Source organism: Homo sapiens, chromosome 21 (genome assembly GCF_000001405.40).
Source record: "Homo sapiens chromosome 21, GRCh38.p14 Primary Assembly".
NCBI lineage: Eukaryota > Metazoa > Chordata > Mammalia > Primates > Hominidae > Homo > Homo sapiens.
The window spans coordinates 19,943,392-19,968,168 of NC_000021.9; the positions used below are offsets into that span (position 1 = coordinate 19,943,392).

General features: G+C 34.2%; 1 long non-coding RNA gene across 1 annotated transcript in view; it reads left to right on the forward strand.

The window, feature by feature from the left end:
• The window catches only part of LOC105372745 (uncharacterized), a 122,882-nt gene that overhangs the window by 43,608 nt on the left and 54,497 nt on the right, over window positions 1–24,777 (forward strand). Inside the window, exon 2 of the long non-coding RNA XR_937603.2 lies at window positions 23,283–23,338. This is a non-coding gene — a long non-coding RNA (uncharacterized LOC105372745). The remainder of the gene's footprint in view (window positions 1–23,282; window positions 23,339–24,777) is intronic.

Genomic DNA, 24,777 nt, shown 5'->3' on the forward strand with positions numbered 1-24,777 from the left:
CTAATATTTTAATATGTTATCTCTATAAATGATTCAATAGAAATATATTTAAAGGATTTTATTTTTAATTTATTTAAAATTTTTATTTCCAATTTTTATTTAAGTTCAGGGGTACATGGTCAGGATGAGAAGGTTTGTTACATAGGTGTATTAGTTTGTTCTCACACTGATATGAAGAAATACCCAAGACTGGGTAATTTATTTATGAAAGAGGTTTAATTGACTCAGAGTTTCCCATATCTGGGGAGGTCTCAGGAAACTTACAATCATGGCAGAAGGTGAAGGGGAAGTAAGCACCTTCTTCACAAGGTGTCAGGACAGAGACGAACAAAGGAGGAACTTCCAAACGCTTATAAAACCATCAGATCTCATGAGAACTCACTCACTATCAGGAGAACAGCATGGGGGAAACTGCCCCCGTGATCCAATCACCTCCCTCCCTTGACATGTGGGGATTACAGGTCCCTCCCTGGACACATGAATTACAATTCAAGATGAGATTTCGGTGGGGACACAGAGCCAAACTATATCAATAGGTAAACGTTTGCCATGTTGATCTACTGCACAGATCATCCCATCACCCAGGTATTAAGCCCAGCATCCATTAGCTATTCTTCCTGATCCTCTCCCTCCTTCTACTCCCCACTCCGATAGCCCCCAGTATGTGTTGTTCACCACCGTGTGTTTATATGTTCTCATCATTTGGCTCCCACTTATAAGTAAGAACATGTAGTATTTGGTTTTCTGTTCCTGCATTAGTTTGCTAAGGATAGCTCTAGCTCTATCCATGTCTATCCATATCTTCCAGCTTTATCCATGTCCCTGCAAAGGGCATGATCTCGTTCCTTATTAGGACCACAGAGTATTGCATGGTGTACATGTACCACATTTTCTTTATCCAGTCTATTACTGATGGGCATTTAGGTTGATTCTATGTCTTTGCTATTGTGAATAGTCCTGCAATAAACATACATGTCCATGTGTCTTTATAATAGAATGACTTATATTCCTTTGGGTATATATACCCAGAAATGGGATAGCTGGGTTGAATGGTATTTCTGCCTCTATGTCTTTGAGTAATTGCCACAATGTATTCCACAATGGTTGAACATATTTACACTCCCAACAGCAGTATAAAAGCATTCCTTTTTCTCCACAACCTCACCAGCATCTGTTTGTTTTTTTGACTTTTTAGTAATAGCCATTCTGACTGTTGTGAGATAGTATCTCATTGTGGTTTTGATTTGCATTTCTCTAATGATCAGTGATGTCGAGTTTTTTTTCATATGTTTTTTGTCTGCATGTATGTCTTCTTTTGAGAAGTGTCTGTGCATGTCCATTGCCTACTCAAAAAAATTTTTTTCTTGTAAATTTAAGTTCCTTATTGATGCTGGATATCAGACTTTTGTCAGATGGATAGATTGCATAAGTTTTCTCTCATTCTGTAGGTTGTCTGTTTACTCTGTTGATAGTTTATTTTGCAATGCAGAGATCTTTAGTTTAACTAGATCCCATTTGTCAAATTTTGCTTTTATTGCAATTGCTTTCGGCATCTTCATCAGGAAATCTTTGCCTGTGCCTGTGACCTGAATGGTATTGGCTAGGTTTTCTTCTAGGGTTTCTATAGTTTTGGGTTTTACATTTAAATCTTTAATTCATCTTGAGTTGATTTTTGTCTGTGGTATAAGGAAGGGGCCCAATTTCAATTTTCTGCATGTGGCTAGCCAGTTCTCCCAGCACTATCTATTAAATAGGGAATTCTTTCCCAATTTCTGGTTTTTGTCAGGTTTGTCGAAGATCACATAGTTGTAGGTGTGTGGTCTTATTTCTGGGTTCTCTATTCTTTTCCACTGGTCAATGTGTCTGTTCTTGTACCAGTACCATGCTGTTTTGGTCACTGTGGCCTTGTGGTATAGTTTGAAGTCAGGTAGTTTGATGCCTCCAGCTTTATTCCTTTTGCTTAGCACGTCCTTGGCTATTCAGGGTCTGTTTCAGTTCCATATGAATTTTAAAATAGTTTGTTTCTCATTCTGTGAAGAAGGTCAATGGTGGTTTAATGGGAATAGCATTGAATCTATAAATTCCTTTGGGCAGTCTGACCATTTTCATGATACTGATTCTTCCTATCCATGAGCATTTTTCCTGTTTGTTTGTGTCATCTCTGATTTTTTTGAGCAGTAGTTTGTAGTTCTTGAAGAGGTCCTTCATTTCCCTTGTTAACTTAATTCATAGGTATTTTATTCATTTTGTGGCAATTGTGAATGAAAGCCTGTTCCTGATTTTGCTCTAAGCTTGCCTTTTCCTGGTTTATAGGAATGCTAGCAATTTTTGCACATTGATTTTGTATCCTGAGCCCTTGCTGAATTTGCTTATTAGCTTAAGAAACTTTTGGGCTGAGCTGATGGAGATTTCTAGATATAGGATCATGTCATCTGCATACAAAGACAGATTGATTTCCTTTTTTTTACTTTATTTTTTTTTTACAATTTATAAATGATTTTATTTATTTATTTATTTATTTTATTATTATTATACTTTAAGTTTTAGGGTACATGTGCACAATGTGCAGGTTAGTTACATATGTGTACATGTGCCATGCTGGTGTGCTGCACCCATTAACTCATCATTTAGCATTAGGTATATCTCCTAATGCTATCCCTCCCCCCTCCCCCGACCCCAGAACAGTCCCCAGAGTGTGATTGATTTCCTTTTAATTCACTATTTCTTCCTCTTGCCTGATTGCCCTGGCCAGAACTTCCAATACTATGTTAAATAGGAGTAGTGAGAGAGGACATCTTTGTCTTTTGCTGGTTTTCAAGGGGAATGTTTCCAGCTTTTGCCTATTCAGTATGATAGGCAAAAGCTGTGGATTTGTCATATATGACTCTTATTATTTTGAGATATGTTCCTTCAACACCTAGTTTGTTAAGAGTTTTTAGCATGAAGGATGTTTAATTTTATCAAAGACATTTTCTGTATCTATTGAGATAATCGTGTGGTTTTTGTCTTTAGTTCTGTTGATGTTACGAATCGCATTTATTGATTTGCATATGTTGAATTAGCCTCGTATCCCAGGGATGAAGCCTACTTGATCGTGGTGAATAAGCTTTTTGGTGTGCTGCTAGATTCGGTTTGCCAGTATTTTGTGGAGGATTTTTGCGTCAATGTTTATCAAGGATATTGGCCTGAAGATTTCTTTTTTTGTTATATCTCTGCTACGTTTTGGTGTCAGGATGATGCCGGCCTCATAGAACGAGTTAGGAAGGAGTCAGTGCTTTTTAATTTTTTGGAATAGTCTGAGTAAAAATGGTACCAGCTCTTCTTTGTACCTCTGAGAGAATTCAGCTGTGACTCCATCTGGTCCTGGGTTTTTTGTTTGTTTGTTTGTTTGTTTTTCGTTGGTAGGCTATTTATTACTGCCTCAATTTCAGAACTTGTTATTGGTCTATCAGGGATTCAATTCAGTCTTGGGTGGGTGTACATGTCCAGGAATTTATCCATTTCTTCTAGATTTTCTACTTTATGGGCTGCCATAACAAAGTATTGCCAACCAGGTGGCCTTGAAAACAGAAATGTATTGTCTTATAATTCTGGGAGCTAGAAGCCTGAGATCAAGGTGTTGGCAGGGTTATTTTCTTCTGGGAATTGTGAAGGAGAATCTGTTTTATGTCTAACTCCTGACATCTGGAGGTTCACTAGAAATCCTTGGCATTCCTTGGCTTATAGAAGCATCACTCCAATGTCTGCCTTGATGTACCCAAAGTGTTTTCCCTGTACACATGTTTGTGTCCGAATTTACCCTTTTATAAAGAGGCTAGTCATACTGAATTAGGGTCATACCCTACTCCTGTATGACCTAATTTTAACTAATTACATTTGCAACAATCATACAGCCAAATTAGGTTACATTCTGTGGTATTGAGGGTTAGTACTTCAACATCCAAATTTTTGAAGGACACAATTCAACAGGTTGCAGTCATAAAGAATATTTTCCAAAAATACTTTGCAAACAAGTCCCTGAATACAGTGAATAGAACATGAAATGGAGCTTAAAACATGTCTTTTGACATAAAATAAAAGGCCTAGGGATCCTTAATTCTTCAAAGCCAAAATAACGAAGTTGAGACATTAAAGGGCAAATGTGAGTTACTGTTTTTCATTTAGTTGTCTGTTTTTTTTTAATTTGATACTGTATTTAAAATATATTGTTCCATTGTATCATCTTAAGGCTGGTGTAATGATAAGTTTGTAATCCTTAACAGTATCAATGACAATGATAAACATTGAAAAGGCAACAGAGGAAAGCATGGTGTTTTGTGCCAGAACATAGAGGAGTTTTGAAGATATTGAGTTGAATTTAAAATGTCTACCAGGAAAGTAGTTTCAACCTCAAGGAAAAGGAAGAAACTATCAATGGAATGAAAATTACACTTTATCAGAGATATCTACTTCTTAACGAAGGTTCCATTTTTATAGAGAAATAGCATAAATTACCCAAAAAGTTATCAAAATTGGCTGCTAGAATAGAATTTAAGTGCAGAGTAAACAGGGAATTTGAGAAGATGTAGTGTCTTAAAATTCTGTAAATTTTAATAAGTATGAAGCAACAGATTATTATCACACTGAATTGAATTTTCAGTTAAATTCAGTAATTTGCAGTCATATGCCTTTTCTGTTTTCCTGTATTCATTACTTGTAAGTCAACAAAAGCCATTTCTGAAAACAAAATTAGACTTTAAAAAGTTTTCTTTATATTTTAGATTCATATTCTAATATATACAAATATTTTATATAACTGTTTTATTGTTCATTTTGTTATTTGGTATTTGCAATTTCTAGATAAATAATTGGCTCTATATTCTGTTCATATCCAACATATTCCAACAGAGGACACTTAATATTTCCATAAAAATAAAAATGCTGGTGAAAATGTGTCCATTTTTACAGTCTATTTACTCAGCATTATTGCTCATTCATATTTATTTGTTATTTTCCTGCATTTTCTGCAATAGTTATCATATCTCAAACTGACAGCTTCCAAAATTACTATTGAGTCCAATTCTTTTTTGTGGATATAGGTAGAATTGATTACCACCCTCTTTGATACTCAGGGGACTTTTTTCTGAATTGCTGCACATAAGCAAAATATTTAATGCTTATGCATATAGGGCTAAGTATAGAATAGACACTTAAGAAAAGCTTTTAAATAAATGAATGTGCTATGGATAGATTAAGAGCTAAGAGAGCATATGACAAAATGAATGCAGTAATCAGTGAATGACAAGAAAAACTGCTAACCCCGAATTATAAAAAGATTTTTCATTTATGGATTTGCCAATTTTTATCAACTGGATATCATTACCATCGATACTAATGAGGTGAGTGTTAATAAGTATATATTATTTAATTTCTGAGAATAGTACTCCTGAAGAAGATTATATAAAAGAATAACACTAGAAGGGGAACATCATCCCCAAATATGAAGATTCAGAAATCATTGTGCACTATCCTTAAATTTAAAAAAAATATATATATGTGTGTGTGTGTGTGTGTGTGTAATTTGTAGGTGTGAGTTTATTGTGTTTGAAAGATAAAGCAGCTTTATATTTAATTAAATTGGTTTTTTGAATCACACTTAAGCAAATACTTAACACTTGCACAAAATCATGTCTGACTTTCTAAATTCTTTCTAATACTTTTTGTTTTGTAAATTTTTCTACACATGAATTATATTACAAATTATGTTGTAATTCAAATTTGTTATACTTTGGTGGTCATTTTTTCTAAACAACTTCAGAATTGTATTTTTAGAGATTTACATATTTCAATGTTGTCATGCACATTTCAAAGAAAATTATATGGACCAGTTTTGTTTCATGTAACTGTACTATTTTAATATGATGGATGACTTCTTCTTTAGTACTTGAGTAAATGTCTCTTATTACCTGAAATTTCTCTGCTTTATTCATTCATTTTTTCCAACTTTATGGTGATAACTTGTTTAAAAAGCACACTTTGTTTCTAACTTGGTAAATACAATGTTTTCTTCATTGTCTTATGAAAAATAGTGTTTATGTACAATCAAATATTATACTTTTTCACTGAAAAATTATGGCTGCTTCATATTTATGCTGTAATGATATTTACAGCATTATCCAAGGTTATGGTTTTATAGTGTGTGGATTTTGAGTGCCTCCGTAATATCTCAAAAACGTCTCTTTGCAGCGTTTATTTATTTCCCTTAAATGAAATAAACTTGATCTTTGAGACGTAGGTCTATGATTTTTAAATATGCCCCAAATGTTATTATGTGACATTTTATAATGTTTACCTTTTTTTCCTCTGGGAAATAAAATTCAATTGAAAATAATTAGTGAACAAATAAATAAATAAAAACAGACAAACACCAAAAAACACTAGAATTCTGAATTTTATTATCTAATGTTAGGATAATTAAGGACATATGTGACCATGTTAGAAATAAAGTTGAAAATATGCTTTTAATAATTTGAAATGCATTAAGGATTTTGTACAGTATATACTATTTTCTTAAAACATGAAGATGTTGCTGATTTATTTTAATTTTTTCACTATCAAAACTGTATAAATTATATTTTGAATAGTCAAGATAATGGTATTATATAACATCATTTAGAATTTTTCAAATAATTACATTTTTATAAACTATGTTAAATATTAATTTTCATAGACGAAGTTAGCTTTTTACTTGCACACAATGTGGAATTTTGGTGAAGCAGAAAATCACCTCATTATGAAAAATATATTGATGGTTTCAATATCAATGAGAAGGAATATCAACGAAAAATCGTGTATATCAATGGAAAAAATCAAACATTTAGTTCATGTTTCACAACAATTTTAACAATGTAGTGATTCTAATTGCCCTATTTCAAGTTTAAATAAATTTGTAATATATAATTTGCATTTAAATGTTTCCCCTAAATTTTGATTTATAAACAACATTTCAATGGCTTTGTTGAGTCAACCATAGAACTCAAAAATTCTTATTCAGATCTTTCCCTGTTCCCACTTATGTTGCCTATGCTAGAATTGTCAGTGTTGTGGGACAGAGACAACTAGGTGAGTCCCAGTAAAAGTTTTCACTTCCTCTATTGTAAGAACCCTTTACCTGTGAACATAACCACCAAAGTCTAAAAATACAGTATTTAGGCTGTCTTGCATACAGTCTGGCCTGTGACTAAGTTCTGGCATAGAAGTGTTACAAGGAATCTTCTAAGGATCCTTTGTCAAAGACAATTCGAACACTTTATTCTTCTCTCTTATATCGCCTGGAATAAGGATGGGGTACCTGGAGCTCTGGATCATGTATTTCATAAGGGATAAATTGTTTAGCACAAGGGAGTATCAATCTCTAAAAACTTCATGGGCTAAGAAGTTTTATCATCATTAGACCACCTGGCTCTTGACTATTATGAGGGAAAAATAACTAACTTATTGAAGTCACTGATATATGGGTTATGTGCAACTCAGAAGGAACTTAACATTTGCTGCTACAAATTTGTGCTAACAGCTTCTGTTTATGGTTTGCTATAATACATCTTACAAATATAAGGTTAAACTTCGTTTCTATTTTATACAAATAAACACAGCGATTAAAAAGATAATGCTTCTTACATGAAACAATTGTGGTAGATACTAGCTAGTGCATCTTGGATATTTGTGGATAACAGTTCTGCTCTACCACTAGCCCCAGGGTACCTCACCATCCCTGCCTATACCCTTATAAATGTGTTGCTTTATTAAGGCATTTGAAATGACTCCCTCTGAGTGTGTTACCTGTGCAAATTGAACACTGAAAATGGCATAATTAATACTAAGTTTTCCACTAATTGGCATAGGATGAAATGTGGGTGTAGAGGCAAGCAGGTGACAGATTAAGTCGTTTGGCAAGTATAAATACTACACATAATTTAGCTTCATTTAACTGCTCTAGAGGGAAACTAGTCAGGCCAAATGTGTTGATATGGATAAACTAACTCAGAATTAGGAAATACTTTAAGTACCTGGGAACTGTCAGCTAGCTTAGTTAATTAAATTCTCAACTCAGATGGGACTTTAGTCAGTGAGATACAAATTTCGGAATATCCCTGGAATATAGAAGGGGAAGAAACCCAGTGACTCAGGGAGAATAGCAATTTTTCAGCGGCCTTTGATGAGTAGCCTATGGGTATCTAGGTGTCCTATTCCCCAGGCACCCTAAGTATTACTTTGTGTCTCCATGGTTATTCAGTTCAACACAAGCAACTTGTTTCCAGGTGGCTGGAATTACCTCTGAAAAGTGGTATTTTATATGGGCTGTATGTTGGTAGGTTAGGCACTTAGCAATGAGGGTAAACAGATTATCCATGGTGAGCAAGGGTCTATTTTTAGTGTCCATGGAGAGCCTCAATATTTATCACATGGTCACTTTGTATATGGACCAACAATTCATGCTTGGTTGTTAGAATTATTCACCTCGGCCAGTTAGAAAACTGACCTCTTTTTCTGCCTATTGGTTCAGTGGCATAAATCTCAAAACTGTTGGCAGGTGGGTAAGAAAAGTCAGCCTCAACTTCCAAACCACTGAAGATGTGAATACTTTTCTAGGGAGAAATATTTATCCATTGAGTACCAAAACTTCCAGATGTCCTAATCTGATTCAAGATTTGGAAGAAACAGTATCTTACATATATCTTACAATATCTTCTATATCTTTAGTTGTAATTGGGAGAGAGCTCCTGCCCCTGTCTTCCACCCAATTCTCAGACCAAGATATTCTCACTAAGGAGTAGTTGTCACCACATCCGATTTCTTAAAATCTCTGGCATATCATCCCATCATTCTACTTGAGCCTGCTCTTCCTAATCATGTGTTCAAACCAATAAATCCTGTGCATGTAATCATATTGTTATATTTCCTTTACCGTAAGTTAAGGAAAGTGGTCCTATGAGATTACAAGTTGATACATAGGCATTCTGTAAGACCATGAGAGGTAATAAGGTATAAGGAAGGGGTCCAGTTTCCATTTTCTGCATATGGCTGGTCAATTCTGCCAGCATCATTTATTAAATATGGAATCATTTCCTTATTGCTTGTTTTTGTCAGGCTTGTCAAAAATCAGATGGTTGATGTGTGGTTTTATTTCTGAGTTCTCTATTCTGTTCCATTGATCTGTGTACAAGTACCATGTTGTTTTGGTTACTGTAGCCTTGTAGCATAGTTTGAAGTCAGGTAGCGTGATGCCTCCAGCTTTGTTCTTTTTGCTTAGGATTGTCTTGGCTATATGGGCCCTTTTTTGGTTCCATATGAAATTTAAAGTAGTTTTTTTCTAATTCTATGAAGAAAATCAATGGTAGTTGGGGATATAGCACTGAATCTATAAATTACTTTAGCAGTATGGCCATTTTCATGATATTGATTCTTCCTATCCATGAGCATGGAACGTTTTTCTGTCTGTTTGTGTTGTCTCTGATTTCCTTGAGCAGTGGTTTGTAGTTCTCCTTGAAGAGGTCCTTGACCTCAATTGTTAGCCGTATTCCTAGGTATTTTATTCTCTTGTGGCAAAAATTAACTCAAGGTGGATTAGACACTTAAATGTAAAACCCAAAACTATAAAAACCCTAAAAGAAAACCTAAGCCATACTATTCAGGACCTAGGCATGGGCAAAGATTTTATGATGAGATCATCAAAAGCAATTGCTACAAAAGCAACAATTGACAAATGGGATCTAATTGCATTAAAGAGCTTCTGCACAGCAAAATAAACTATCATCAGAGTGAACAGGCAACCTACAGAATGGGAGAACATTTCTGCAATCTGTCTTTCTGACAAAGGTCTAATATCCTGTATCTACAAGGAACTTAAGCAAATTTACAAGGATAAAAATGAACAATCCCATTAAAAAGTGGGCAAAGGATAGGAATACACACCTCTCAAGAGAAGGCATACATGCAGACAACAAACATATGAAAAAAAGCTCAACATCACTGATGATCAGAGAAATGCAAATCAAAACCACACAGTGAAATATCATCTTGTGCCAATCAGAAAGGCAATTATTAAAAAGTCAATAAACAGATGCTGCAAGGTTGAGGAGAAATAGGAACATTTTTATGGTGTTGGTGGGAATGGAAATTAGTTTAACCATTGTGGAAGATAGTGTAGTGATTCCTCGAGAATCTAGAACCAGAAATACCATTTGACACAGCAATCCCTTTACTGGGTATACACACCCAAAGGAATATAAAGCATTCTATTATAAAGATACATGCACACATATGTTCATTGCATCACCATTTACAATAGCAAAGATGTGGAATTAACCTAAATCCCCATCAATGATAAACTGGGTAAAGAAAATATAGTACATATACACCATGGAATACTATGCCACCATAAAAGGAAGATCATGTCCTTTGCAGGGACATGGATGAAGCTGGAAGCTATTATTCTCAGTAAACTAATGCAGGAATAAAATAACCAAACACTGCATGTTTTCACTTACAGTGGGAGCTGAACACATGGACACAGGGAGCGGAACAATAAACTCTGGGGCCTCTTGGGGAGGTGAGGGAGCATCAGGAAAAATAGCTAATGCATGCCAGGCTTAATACCTAGGTGATGGGTTAATAGGTGCAGCAAACCATCATGGCACACATTTACCTACGTAACAAACCTGCACATGCTGCGCATGCACTCTGAAACTTAAAATGAAATAAAATTTAAAAAAAGAAAGGGAATAATGCCAGAAGCATTGCAATAAAGAAAGGACATTTAATACTCAGAATATATCGATACTTATGAGAATAAACTCCTGACTCCGCATTCACCCACGGACATTTTTAAAATCTCATGTCAAAGAACCAACAAACTGAAAAGGGTGACCAAAGTGAATAAATCTAATTATCAAGCATGAACTAGGATACTGCTACAAAACAGGAGTAAATAAGACCCAAGGCAACTCACTGGTGTTCCTAATACTACTTTGCTCAAAAGGTTTAGCCAATAAAAAATTACATCTATTAAGACAGTACTGATGTAGATACAGATAATTCAGGAAAAAAATAGCTTCAGATTACCTTCACCTCAGGAAATAACCCATTTTATCAGATTTCCAGCAAAAGATAAGAAGAATATGGAATACCTGAAAGAAGAAAGCAATGTTTATAAAGTTAAATCTTGTGATAAGCTGCAAAAGAGTGGCTCTGGGAGTGAGAAGAATTAAGAATACCAGCTATGCTTTAAGTCAATTTTGGTTTTCTTCCCTTTACCCAACACCATGCCCAAAGGATTTAAGTCTTTGAGAGCCTGACAAAATTGACTTGTATTATGTGGTATTTTTATACCACATTTTCTTTATTCATTTGTCCGTTGGTGGACAATTAAGTTGATTCTCTATCATGATTTCTGTTAATAGTGCTGCAGTCAACATGACTGACTTTATTTTATTTTATTTATTTATTTATTTATTTATTTATTTATTTATGAGACAGAATTTCACTCTTGTTGCCCAGGCTGGAGTGCAATGGTGCGATCTTGGCTTACTGCAACCTCTGCCTCCTGAGTTCAAGTGATTTTCCTGCCTCAGCCTCTCGAGTAGCTGTGATTAAAGGCATGTGCCACCATGCCCAGCTAATTTTGTATTTTTAGTAGAGACGGGGTTTCACCATGTTACCCAGGCTGGTTTCAAACTCCTGAGCTCAGGTGATCCTCCTGCCTTGGCCTCCCAAAGTGCTGGGATTACAGGCATGAGCCACTGCGCCCAGCAGACTGACTTTATTTTTTTGGGGTATATATCCTGTAGTGGGATTACTGGATTATCCTCAAAGATAAGTTAGCTTATTATACTTTGTATATCTATTTTGGGAAGGTGCATTTTCATCTTAAGAAAAGACATATATATATGTATTTATGTATACATATATATATTTATGTATACATACATATGTATTTATGTGTATATATATGTATTTATGTACACATGTATATAAACAAATATACACTCACACATGTATATATACACTTATATTTATATATAAAATATACATATAGCACAAATACATATTTGCATGTCTGTATACATATATATTAATATTTTTGTATATTATAATTTTAATTCTATTTGTAACCTAATCTGGAATAGAACAATAAATTGGGAAACTCTGGGTACATAATTTTTTTCTTCATTATGAAATATTTTATTACATTCATTTTTATATAACAAAAGATTTAAACTACAAAAACAAAAGCATGTGTATATATAATATTATATTTTACTAATGTAATTGAAATGAAACTTTTAAAAGATTGACTGTTCAGTAATTTTCTCTTGTTTGTTTTTATTCTATTTTTAATTGACATAATTGGACATATTTATTTGGTACAGTGTAATGTTTTGATACATGTATAAATTAGGTAACAATGAAATCAGGCTATTTAGCATATCCATCACCTCATACATTTATCATTTCTGTGTGGTAAGAGCATTCAATATTCCCTGTTCTAACTATTTTGAAATATATAGAGTTAACCATAGTCACTCCACTGTGTAATAAAACACCAGAACTTACTCCTATATAACTGAAATTTAATATACTTTGACCTACATCTCCTGAATGCCCAACACCCATAGCTCTGGTTACCTCAATTTAGCTCTCTACTTCTAAGAGAATTAGAGTTCAACTATTTTAGATTTCACATATTAGTGAAATCATGTAGTATTTGTCTTTCTGCGCCTGTATTATTTCAATTAACATAATGCCTTTCAGATTCTCTCATGTTCCTGCAAATGACAGGATTTTATTCTTTTTCATGGATTAATAGTATTCCATTGGGTATATATACCACAAGTTCTTTATTAATTTATCCGTTGATGAACAATTAAGTTGATTCTCTGTGATGGTTTTTGTTAATAGTATTGCAGTCAACATGACTGACTTTATTTATTTTGGCTATGTGCCCTGTAGTGGGATTACTGGATCATATGGGACTTCTCTTTTTGATTTTTTGAGGAGCCTGCATACTGCTTTCCATAATAGTACTAATTTTCATTCTCACTAACAATGTATGAATTTCTCTGATTTCACATCCACACGAGTATTTATTTATTTTGATAATTGCTACTCTAATTGGGGTGAGGTGATATCTCATGGTTTTGATTTGCATTTTTCTAATGATTAGTGATGTTGAGCATTTTAAGATATATCTATTGACCATTTGCTTGTCTTCTTTTAAGCAATGTCTACTCAGATCTTTTGATTGTTTTAAAAATATTGCTATTGAATTATTTATGAATTTCTTATATATTCTGGATATTAAAACCTTATCAGCTGAATAGCTTGCCATTTTTTCTGCATTCTGTAGGTTGTCTCTTCATTTTCTTAATTGTTTACTTTGCTGTGGCAGTAGCTTTTTGGCTTGATGTAATCTCATTTGTCTATGTTTTCTTTTGTTGCCTGTGCTTTTGGGGTCTTATCCAAAAAATTCTTGTGCAGACCAGTGTCATAAAGTGTTTCTTTTATGTTTTCTTATAGTAATATTACCATTTAGGATCTCACATTTAATACTTTAATAATTTTTAGTTGATTTTTGTTTATGGTGAGACCTAGGGGTTTATCTTCATTCTTCACTGCATGTGGACCTCCAGTTTTCCCTGAACCATTTACTGATTAGAGTACCTTTCTCCACTTTGCATTTTTAGCACCATTGTCCATAGTAAGTTCACTGTAAGTGTATGGAATTCTTCTGTGTTCTCTATTCTGTTCCTTTGGTCTATGTGTCTATTTTGATGCCAGCACCATGCTGTTTTAGTTACTCTATCTTGATAATATATTTTGAAGACAGAAAATGTCATGACTTCAACTTTGATCTTTTTGGTAAAGGTTACCTTGGCTATTGAGAGTCCTTTGTGGCTCCATATGAATTTTAGGAGTATCTTTCTCTGTGTCTGTGGAGAATGTCATTGATATTTTGATAAAGATCCCATTGAATGTATATCATTTTGGGTACTGTGGATATTGTAACAATATCATTTCTTTCAATCAATGAGCATGGAATATCTATTTATTTGTATCTTCTTTATTTTCTTTTATCACTTTTTTTGCTTTTATTTTACACATCTTTTACCTCTGTGGCTAATTTTATTCCTAAGTATTTTATTTTATTTGTAGCTGTTGTAAATGGAATTATTTTCTTGAGTTCTTTTTCATATAGTTTGCTACTACTGTACAGAAACACTACTGATTTTTGTATGTTGATTTTGTATCCTGCATCTATATTGAATTTGTGAATTAGTTCTAACAGTTTTTTGGTGGAATCTTTAGGGTTTTCTATATATATAAGAACATGCCACCTATGCAGACAATTCAACCTCTTCCTTTCCAATTTGGATTCCCTTTATTTCTTTCTCTTGTCTGATTACTCTGGCTAAGTCTTCCAATACCATGTTGACTACAAGTGGCAAGAGTGGCCATCCTTGTCTTGTTCCAGATTTTAGAGGGCAAGCTTTCAACTATTATATTACCCCTGAGTTCATCATATATGGCCTTTGATAGATTGAGGTACTTTTCTTCTATACTTAACTTTTTGAGAATTTTATTATAAAGGGATGTTGAATTTTGTCAAATCCTTTTTCTGAATCTATTGAAATTGTAATATGATTCTTGTCCTTCATTTGTTGATATGATGTATCATGTTTATTGATCTTCATATTTTATGTTCAACCATTCTTGCATTCCTAGGATGAGGCCCACTTGATCATGTTGAATGATCTTTTTAATATTAATAGGCTGTTGAATTTGTTTTGCTAGTATTTCCTTGAGGATTTTTGCATGCATGTTCATTTGGAATATTGATTGGCTTGTAGGCGGTTGTTTTGGTTTAGTTTGGTGTGAGTGCATGTGCATGTGTGTGTATGTTTGTGTGTTTGTGTCCTTGACTGATTTTGGTGTCAGGGTAATGGTGGCTCAGTAGATGAGTTTAAGAGTATTTCTTCTCCTTTTATATGTTGAAATAGCTTCATAAGAATTGGTATTATGTTTTCATTAAATGTTTTATAGAATCCAGCAGTGAGGTAATTTTTTTTAAAGGAAACTTTTTATTACTTATTCACATCTTAGTGCTCATTATTAGCTGTGTTCAGATTTTCTATTGTTTCAAGATACAATATTGATAGGTTGCATGTGTCCAGATATTTATCTGTTTCTGCTAGCATTATCCTATATATTGGTAATTTTTTGTATTTTTATAATATCAATTCTTTTTTTAAATTTTATTATTATTACACTTTAAGTTTTAGGGTACATGTGCACAATGTGCAGGTTTGTTACATATGTATACATGTGCCATGTTTGTGTGCTGCACCCATTAACTCGTCATTTAACATTAGGTATATCTCCTAATACTATCCCTCTCCCCTCCCCCCACCTCACAACAGTCCCCAAAGTGTGATGTTCCCCTTCCTGTGTCCATGTGTACTCATTGTTCAATTCCCACCTATGAGTGAGAACATGCAGTGATTGGTTTTTTGTCCTTGCGATAGTTTGTTAAGAATGATGGTTTCCAGTTTCATCCATGTCCCTACAAAGGACATGAACTCATCATTTTTTATGGCTGCATAGTATTCCATGGTGTATATGTGCCACATTTTCTTAATCCAGTCTATCATTGTTGGACATTTGGGTTGGTTCCAAGTCTTTGCTATTGTGAATAGTGCCACAATAAACATACGTGTGCATGTGTCTTTATAGCAGCATGAGTTATAATCCTTTGGGTATATACCCAGTAATGGGATGGCTGGGTCAAATGGTATTTCTAGTTCTAGATCCCTGAGGAATCGCCACACTGACTTCCACAATGGTTGAACTAGTTTACAGTCCCACCAACAGTGTAAAAGTGTTCCTATTTCTCCACATCCTCTCCAGCACCTGTTGTTTCCTGACTTTTTAATGATCGCCATTCTAACTGGTGTGAGATGGTATCTCATTGTGGTTTTGATTTGCATTTCTCTGATGGCCAGTGATGATGAGCATTTTTTCATGTGTCTTTTGGCTGCATAAATGTCTTCTTTTGAGAAGTGTCTGTTCATATCCTTCGCCCACTTTTTGATGGAGTTGTTTGTTTTTTTCTTGTAAATTTGTTTGAGTTCATTGTAGATTCTGGATATTAGCCCTTTGTCAGATGAGTAGGTTTCGAAAATTTTCTCCCATTTTGTAGGTTGCCTGTTTACTCTGATGGTAGTTTCTTTTGCTGTGCAGAAGCTCTTTAGTTTAATTAGATCCCATTTGTCAATTTTGTCTTTTGTTGCCATTGCTTTTGGTGTTTTAGACATGAAGTCCTTGCCCATGCCTATGTCCTGAATGGTATTGCCTAGGTTTTCTTCTAGGGTTTTTATGGTTTTAGGTCTAACGTTTAAGTCTTTAATCCATCTTGAATTAATTTTTGTATAAGGTGTAAGGAAGGGATTCAGTTTCAGCTTTCTACATATGGCTAGCCAGTTTTCCCAGCACCATTTATTAAACAGGGAATCCTTTCCCCATTTCTTGTTTTTGTCAGGTTTGTCAAAGATCAGATGGTTGTAGATATGTGGCATTATTTCTGAGGGCTCTGTTCTGTTCCATTGATCTATATCTCTGTTTTGGTACCAGTACCATGCTGTTTTGGTTACAGTAGCCTTGTAGTATAGTTTGAAGTCAGGTAGCGTGATGCCTCCAGCTTTGTTCTTTTGGCTTAGGATTGACTTGGTGATGCGGGCTCTTTTTTGGTTCCATATGAACTTTAAAGTAGTTTTTTCCAATTCTGTGAAGAAAGTCATTGGTAGCTTGATGGGGATGGCATTGAATCTATAAATTACCTTGGGCAGTATGGCCATGTTCATGATATTGATTCTTCCTGCCCATGAGCATGGAGTGTTCTTCCATTTGTTTGTATCCTCTTTAATTTCATTGAGCAGTGGTTTGTAGTTCTCCTTGAAGAGGTCCTTCACATCCCTTGTAAGTTGGATTCCTAGGTATTTTATTCTCTTTGAAGCAATTGTGAATGGGAGTTCACTCATGATTTGGCTCTCTGTTTGTCTGTTATTGGTGTATAAGAATGCTTGTGATTTTTGTACATTGACTTTGTATCCTGAGACTTTGCTGAAGTTGCTTATCAGCTTAAGGAGATTTTGGGCTGAGACAATGGGGTTTTCTAGATAAACAATCATGTCATCTGCAAACAGGGACAATTTGACTTCCTCTTTTCCTAATTGAATACCCTTTATTTCCTTCTCCTGCCTAATTGCCCTGGCCAGAACTTCCAACACTGTTGAATAGGAGCGGTGAGAGAGGGCATCCCTGTCTTGTGCCAGTTTTCAAAGGGAATGCTTCCAGTTTTTGCCCATTCAGTATGATATTGGCTATGGGTTTGTCATAAATAGCTCTTATTATTTTGAGATACATCCCATCAATACCTAATTTATTGAGAGTTTTTAGCATGAAGAGTTGTTGAATTTTGTCAAAGGCCTTTTCTGCATCTATTGGGATAATCATGGGGTTTTTGGCTTTGGTTCTGTTTATATGCTGGATTACATTTATTGATTTGCGAATGTTGAACCAGCCTTGCATCCCAGGGATGAAGCCCACTTGATCATGGTGGATAAGCTTTTTGATGTGCTGCTAGATTCGGTTTGCCAGTATTTTACTGAGGATTTTTGCATCAATGTTCATCAAGGATATTGGTCTAAAATTCTCTCTTTTGGTTGTGTCTCTGCAAACACATTCAAAAGCTAGCAGAAGGCAAGAAATAACTAAAATCAGAGCAGAACTGAAGGAAATAGAGACACAAAAAACCTTTCAAAAAGTTAATGAATCCAGGAGCTGGTTTTTTGAAAAGATCAACAAAATTGATAGACCACTAGCAAGACTAATAAAGAAGAAAAGAGAGAAGAATCAAATAGATGCAATAAAAAATGATAAAGGGGATATCACCACCAATCCCACAGAAATACAAACTACCGTCAGAGAATACTACAAACACCTCTATGCAAATAAACTAGAAAATCTAGAAGAAATGGATAAATTCCTCAACACATACACCCTCCCAAGACTAAACCAGGAAGAAGTTGAATCTCTGAATAGACCAATAACAGGCTCTGAAATTGTGGCAATAATCAATAGCTTACCAACCAAAAAAAGTCCAGGACCAGATGGATTCACAGCCGAATTCTACCAGAGGTACAAGGAGGAGCTCGTACCATTCCTTCTGAAACTATTCCAATCAATAGAAAAAGAGGGACTCCTCCCTAACTCATTTTATGAGGCCAGCATCATCCTGATATAATATCAATTCTAATGTCTTACTTTTTATCTCTGATTTTATTTATTTAAGTTGTCTTTCACTTTTCCTCAGAGTCACCAAAGTTTTTGAATATTGTTTATCTTTTAAAAAAGCAACTGTTTATTTTATCTATATTTTGTGTTTAGTTTTTTGTCTCAATTTGTTTCCTCTTGAATATCATTTATTTTCTTCTAATAATTTGGGGTTTAGTGTGTTTTTATTTAGTTCTTTGAGGTGCTATGTTAGGTAGTTTATTTGTGATCTGTTTTCCTTCTGATGTAAGTTTTTATTGCAAGAAACTTCCCTCTTAGAAATGTGTTTAACTGTGTTCTATAGGTTTTGATATGTTTCATTTCCACTTTCATTTGTCTTAAACATTTTTAAATTTTCCTTTTAATGTCTTTACCCATTGGTTGTTTGGGAACATTTTGTTTAATTTCTACATATTTGTAAAGTTTCTGTATTTCCTCTGTTATTGATTTTTAGTTTTATACCATTGTGCTCAGTAGAGATACTTGATGTAATTTTAATCTTCTTAAATTTCATTTTGTCTCATGGTCAAATATATGGTCAAATATATGATCAAATATATTGTCTCGTGGTCAAATATATATCTATATTTGATCTATGTTCTATGTGCAACAGAGAAGGATGTATATTTTGTACCTTTTAGTTGGAATGTTCTGCAAATGTCTGTTAGGCCCATTTCATCTAGAGTGTAGTTTAAATCTGATGTTATTTTTATAATTTATTTTACTGGATAATCTGTCCATTGTTGTAAGTGAGATGTTGAAATTCCCTACTATTTTAGTATCATAGTCAATTTCTCTCTTTAGCTCTATGAATATTTTCTTTATATATTTAGGTGCTCCAATGATAGGTGCATATATATTTACAATTGTTATACTCTCTTGCTGATTTGACCTCTTTATCATTATGTCATGAACTTCATTTCTGCTTCTTTTGTAAAATCCAAAGTCTATTTTACCTGATATAAGTACAGCTACTCTCACTGTGTTGTGGCTTCCATTTGTATGAAATATTTCTTTCTATCCCTTCACTTTTAGTCTATTTGTGTCTTGTAGGCAGCATATCATTGGGTCTTTTAAAAATCCATTGATCCACTCTTTTTATTTTTATTTTTTCATGATCTTCATTGGTTTATCATTTTAGGGATGGGTTCCTTCTGTGTTAGGCTGGAGGGCAGTGGCTATTCACAGGCACAATCACTTCACACTACAGCTTTGTACCCCTGGCCTCAAGCAATCCTCCCACTTCAGCTTCCTGAGTATTTGTGACTACAGGGACATGCAAAACACTGGGTTTTATTCCTCTTAATAGTACAGTTTAATCCATTAATATGCAAGATGATTATTGATAGGTACAGATGTATTACTGCCATTTTAAAAATTTTCAAATTGTTTTATAGATTCTTTCTTTTTACCTGTCCTCTTGTGTGGTTAAATAATTTTCTCTAGTAGTGTGTTTTGATTTTTTAATTTTTATTCTTAATGTACCTATTAAAGGTTTTTGCTTTGTGGATAACATGAAGCTAACAAATAACATCTCATAGATATAACAGCTTAAAATAACTTGTTATATATATGAGATGTTATTAACTCTGACCTTAATGTTTTAAGAAAAGGACTCTACAATTTGACCTCACTGCCTCCAATATTTTGAATTTTTATGTCACAATTTGCATATTTTAATGTTGCATATTTCTTAAATTATTTTAATTTTTACTATTTCTAATATTTTTGTATTTTAATCTTTATATTAGAGATATAAATGATTCATACACAATCATTGCAGTATTAGAGTATTCTTTATTTGACTCTGCACCTATTTTTATCAGTGAATTTTATACTTTCAAAATATTTGTGTGTGTGTGTGTGTGTATGTGTGACTCATTAGCATCCTTTTCTTTCAGCTTGAAGAACTTCCTTTACCATTGTTTATAAGACAGATTTGGAGTTAAAAAACAAATAAAACTCCCTCAGCTTTTGTTTGTCTGGAAAAATGTTTATATCTCCTTCACATCTGAAGGATGGATTTGCTGACTACAGTATTCTTGGCTGGCAGTTTGGTTGCTTTTTTCCTTTAGCACTTTGAATATATCAACCCACCAACCTCCTGGCTGGTAAGGTTTCTGCTAAGAAATCCACTGATAGTTATATTGGCACTCTTTTGTATATGATGTGTTTCTTACCTCTTGGCTGCTTTCAGAATTTTTTCTTTGTCTCTTTTTTTTTTGATAATTTGATTATTTTATGTTTTGTTGTATTTCTCTCAGGGTTTAATTTTCTTGGAGACCTCTATGCATCCCATATATGTGTGTTGGTATCTATCACAGGTTAATGCAGTTTTCAGCCATTATTCCTTTAAATGTGCTTACTGGACCTTTTCCTTTGTCTTCTTCTGTTGATTCTATTATAAAAACATTCAATCTCTTACATGTGTCCTATAATTCCCATAGATTTTCTTCATTCTTATTTATTCTTTTGTCTTTTTATCCTCTGACTGGATACTTTAAAATTTGCCTTTCTGCTTACTGATTCTTTCTTTCTACTTGATAAGTTCTTCTGTTAAAATTTTCTATTACATTTTTTATTGCAGTCATTGTATTATTCATTTCTAGGATTTCTACTGATCTTCTCATTTTTTTCAAATACTGGTTTCCAAACTTCATTAAATTTTCCATCTGTATATTTTTAAATTTTACTGAACTTCCTTATGAATATTATTCTGTATTATTGATCAGTCTTTGCATAGATCTCTATTTATTTGGGATTCATTATTTGAGCTTTATTTATTTCTTTTTGAGAAATTATACTTCCCTGATTTTCCATAATCTTTGTATTCTTATGTTGTGACCTTCATATGTGAGGTGACAAGTCCCTTTTTGGTCCTGCACAGATATATTAGCAGACATAGAGCTATTTAGTCTAGGCTGTGGTCCTGGAAGGTTCAGCTGGTGATGATCCTGGAGAGGCAGAGTATGTTATAAGTTATCCAGTTGGCTGGGTCACTGCCTTTGCTTTGATATTGAATGGGGTTACTAACTGGGTTCTGCTGACCAGTGAGACCATTGGTTGGACTCTGCTGTTAGGTGGTATGCTGGCTCATACTTCAATGGCTTCTGGTTAGACCCGGCAACATATATATTCCCTGGATGGGCAGTTTTGCTATTTGAAATCTGCACTTGAGCAGGGCTGAAAGTTGGACTCTAAGATTAGGTGGAGTCACTACTCTGAACAGGCAGGAGCTTAGGCTGTGCTCCTTAGAAACACACAATTTGAGATTGCCTCCTTGTCTGGGTGGAGCTGTGGAGTGGGCTTTTGGCTTAGTTCAGTGGCTGTTTGACTTCCCAGATCAAGCAGGACTGGCCTCTAAGTTTCTTCAAAATGTACAGAAATGGGAGTCTCTCTGCCTGGTTGGGATTGTTTTGTGGGCTATTTGTCGTCCCTACTTGCCTTCCTGGCTCGAGCCAGTCTGGCTTCTTTGCTTCTCTAAAATCTGCAAAGATGGGAATCTGTCTGCCTGGGCGGGGTCATTGGCCAGGCTTTTTGGCCATGTGGCACCTCTGATTACCTTCCCACATCAAGCATGTGTAGCTCCTTCACATCTCTGAGATCTGTGAAGACATGAGTCTTCCTGATTGGACAGGTTTGTTGTTGGTTCTGGAGTTGGCTGGGGAGACTAGCTGTCTAAGGGCTCACTGTATGTGAGCTAGATTGTGTTTCCTACTGTGCTTTTAAAGGTGACAAGCTTAGCTCTGTGAGTGAGCTAAGAGGTTGATTGATGCCTCTGACCAAGTGCTACAGCTTGCAGGATGCAGTGGTAACACCAAAATCCTTGTCATTTGCTTTGTTTTACTCCTGGGTGGTCAAGCCATGCCATTTCTCTTAGTATTCCTCATTAAGTGAGACCACAGTGGACTTCCTGAGAAGTTTTTTAGAATGGTAGTGAAGTCAGATAACTGTTTCAAGTTCGTTTTTCCCCTCATAGAAACTGTGAGTCCAGGAAAATCTTTATCTGGTGCTATGCTACTTTGGTAGAAGGGGAGGTGGGGGTGCAGTCAGAGTGAGACCATTCCTCTTAGCCATCAAATTTAGATTTTGTTTACTTCTGCACACCACACAGGTGTCTCAGGCTTGTTTCCAGATGCTGAGGTTTTCAAAAGGATGTTCTGTCTGTAGATAGTCGCTAGTTGAAAGTTCTGTTGGAGCAATGGGGGTCAAGGTTTTTTCTTTGCCACATTGCTGACATCCTTAAGTTTGAATTAATAATGATTTTATTTTAATGTCAACTGAATAACTGATATTTATTTTTTAAAATATTTTTTAAGAAAACATCTGAAATCACAAGCAGGTTCATCATGAAAATATAAAAAAAAATTATTGTTAGTCATGATCTATGAAAGAAGCAAAATATCATTTTTTTCCAAGTATTTATGATTGCTGTCTTTAAGGTTTTTTTTTCTATTATTCATAGTGATGATAGTTTTGACCCAAATATGATTTCAAGTCTTATTTGCAAATATTTTAAGGCACAACCAGGCCTGAATGTATTTTCTACTGCCCAATATAGAAGCAAATTTTGATTAAATCTAAAAACTTTTAATAATGCTGGAAATGATTATATGCCTTGCATGTAGGAATTTATTATATGCTATGTAATCAGTATATTGGAACCCTCATTCAAATAATTATGCAAAACTGAACTTTATTTAAATAAATAAATAAGTAAACTTTTAAGGTGAGGTTTCACTTAGTTCCAGAATTATACTTACTGAAATATTACTATATTTTAAAATTTGCTATATATTATAATATTACTTATACTGATGATACTGATGGTTATGAAAATAAATAAAATATATTTATGGATATGTCAGTGTGACTCCAGTGATTTATAGTTGTGTTTGTGTTTTTTTTTTCTAAAGGATTTGAACAACTTGCAAATACACCATGCTGGACACACTAAGATAAGCAAAATCAAGTAAGACCATATGCAAAATTGTATAATTTTTAATTGCGAAGTTTATTGCATTTAAAGCACTGAAATAACTTTTTAAAAAACATTTTATTTCACATACTTTTTCATATTCTTATTAAAAACATGATCTATTCATTTCAAACAGACTTATCCTGAAACTGAATATATAGACGTACTTTATCTGGAGAGACTCTTGCAAGTGATATTGAGCACTATGGTAAAATAACTTTCCAATATTTTATGTAATTTTAATTGAAGGAGGATATACATACAAAAACTTTAAAGAAGTTATTGCAAATGTACAAATTGATGGATTTTCATTAAATGAATTATCCTTATAGCCATCAGCTATATCAAGAAATAAAGCATCACTAGCCCCCAGAAGCTACCCTCAGCTTCCCTCCAAGTCACTAAAATTCTCCAAGTTGATAATCTTTCTGATGTTCAACACTAAATACTTTGTATATTTGTGTATAGTGTGCAAGATGGAATTTTACTGTATAGATTATTTTGCATCTGGCATTTTTTATTTAGTGAGATATCCAGTCAATATTAATTTTCATCATTGTTATGAAATATTTTATTATATGAAAATACAAAAATAGTGTGGGTGTGTGTTTGTGATCTACTACAAATGTGTAGTTTTCAGGGTTTTTTGGCTATTGTCTAACAACATTGGCTATTGTCTTTTTTATTTTATTTATTCTAGTGTTTGTGTACTAAAATTTAATCGTGATTTTATCTTGAAGGTCTCTGTTGACTAATGAGGTAGAGCATGTTTTCCTGTGTTTTAGCTGATCCACTTTGTAGGCATCTTTTCCAGTGTTTGCATTTTTGATCTCTTGAATTGTCTGACTGTTATGGGTTGAATTGTGTTCCTCAAAAATTCATGTGTTGAGTTCCTAGCACCCAGAACCTCAGAAAGTGACTTTCTTTGAAAGTAAGGTCATTGCAGATGTAGTTAGGTAAAATGAGGTCATACTGAAGTAGGGTGGGCTCTAATATAATATACTTGATGCTTTTATTGAAAGGGAAAATTTAATTTCTGATACACAGACACATAGCGAGAATACCATGTGAAGATTAAAGAAGACATTGAGATGCCTTAGCAGAAGTCAACAAATGCCAAACATTGCCAGCCCACCACCGGTAGCTAGGAAAAAGACATGAAACTGATTTTTTTCCTCATAGCCTTTAGAAGGAACAACCTTGTGACACATTGATCTTGGATTTCTAACCTCCAAAACTGTGAGACAATACATTTCTGTTGTTTAAGCCACTCTGTGGTTATTTGTTGCAGTTGTAGCAAACTGGTGGACTGTCGTTTATTGATTTGTAAGAATATTGTATATATTCTGGATATGAGTTATTTGTCAGTAATATAAACTGTAAATTAGTCTGTGATTTGTCTATTCATTCTTTTAATGGTGCCTTTTGATGAA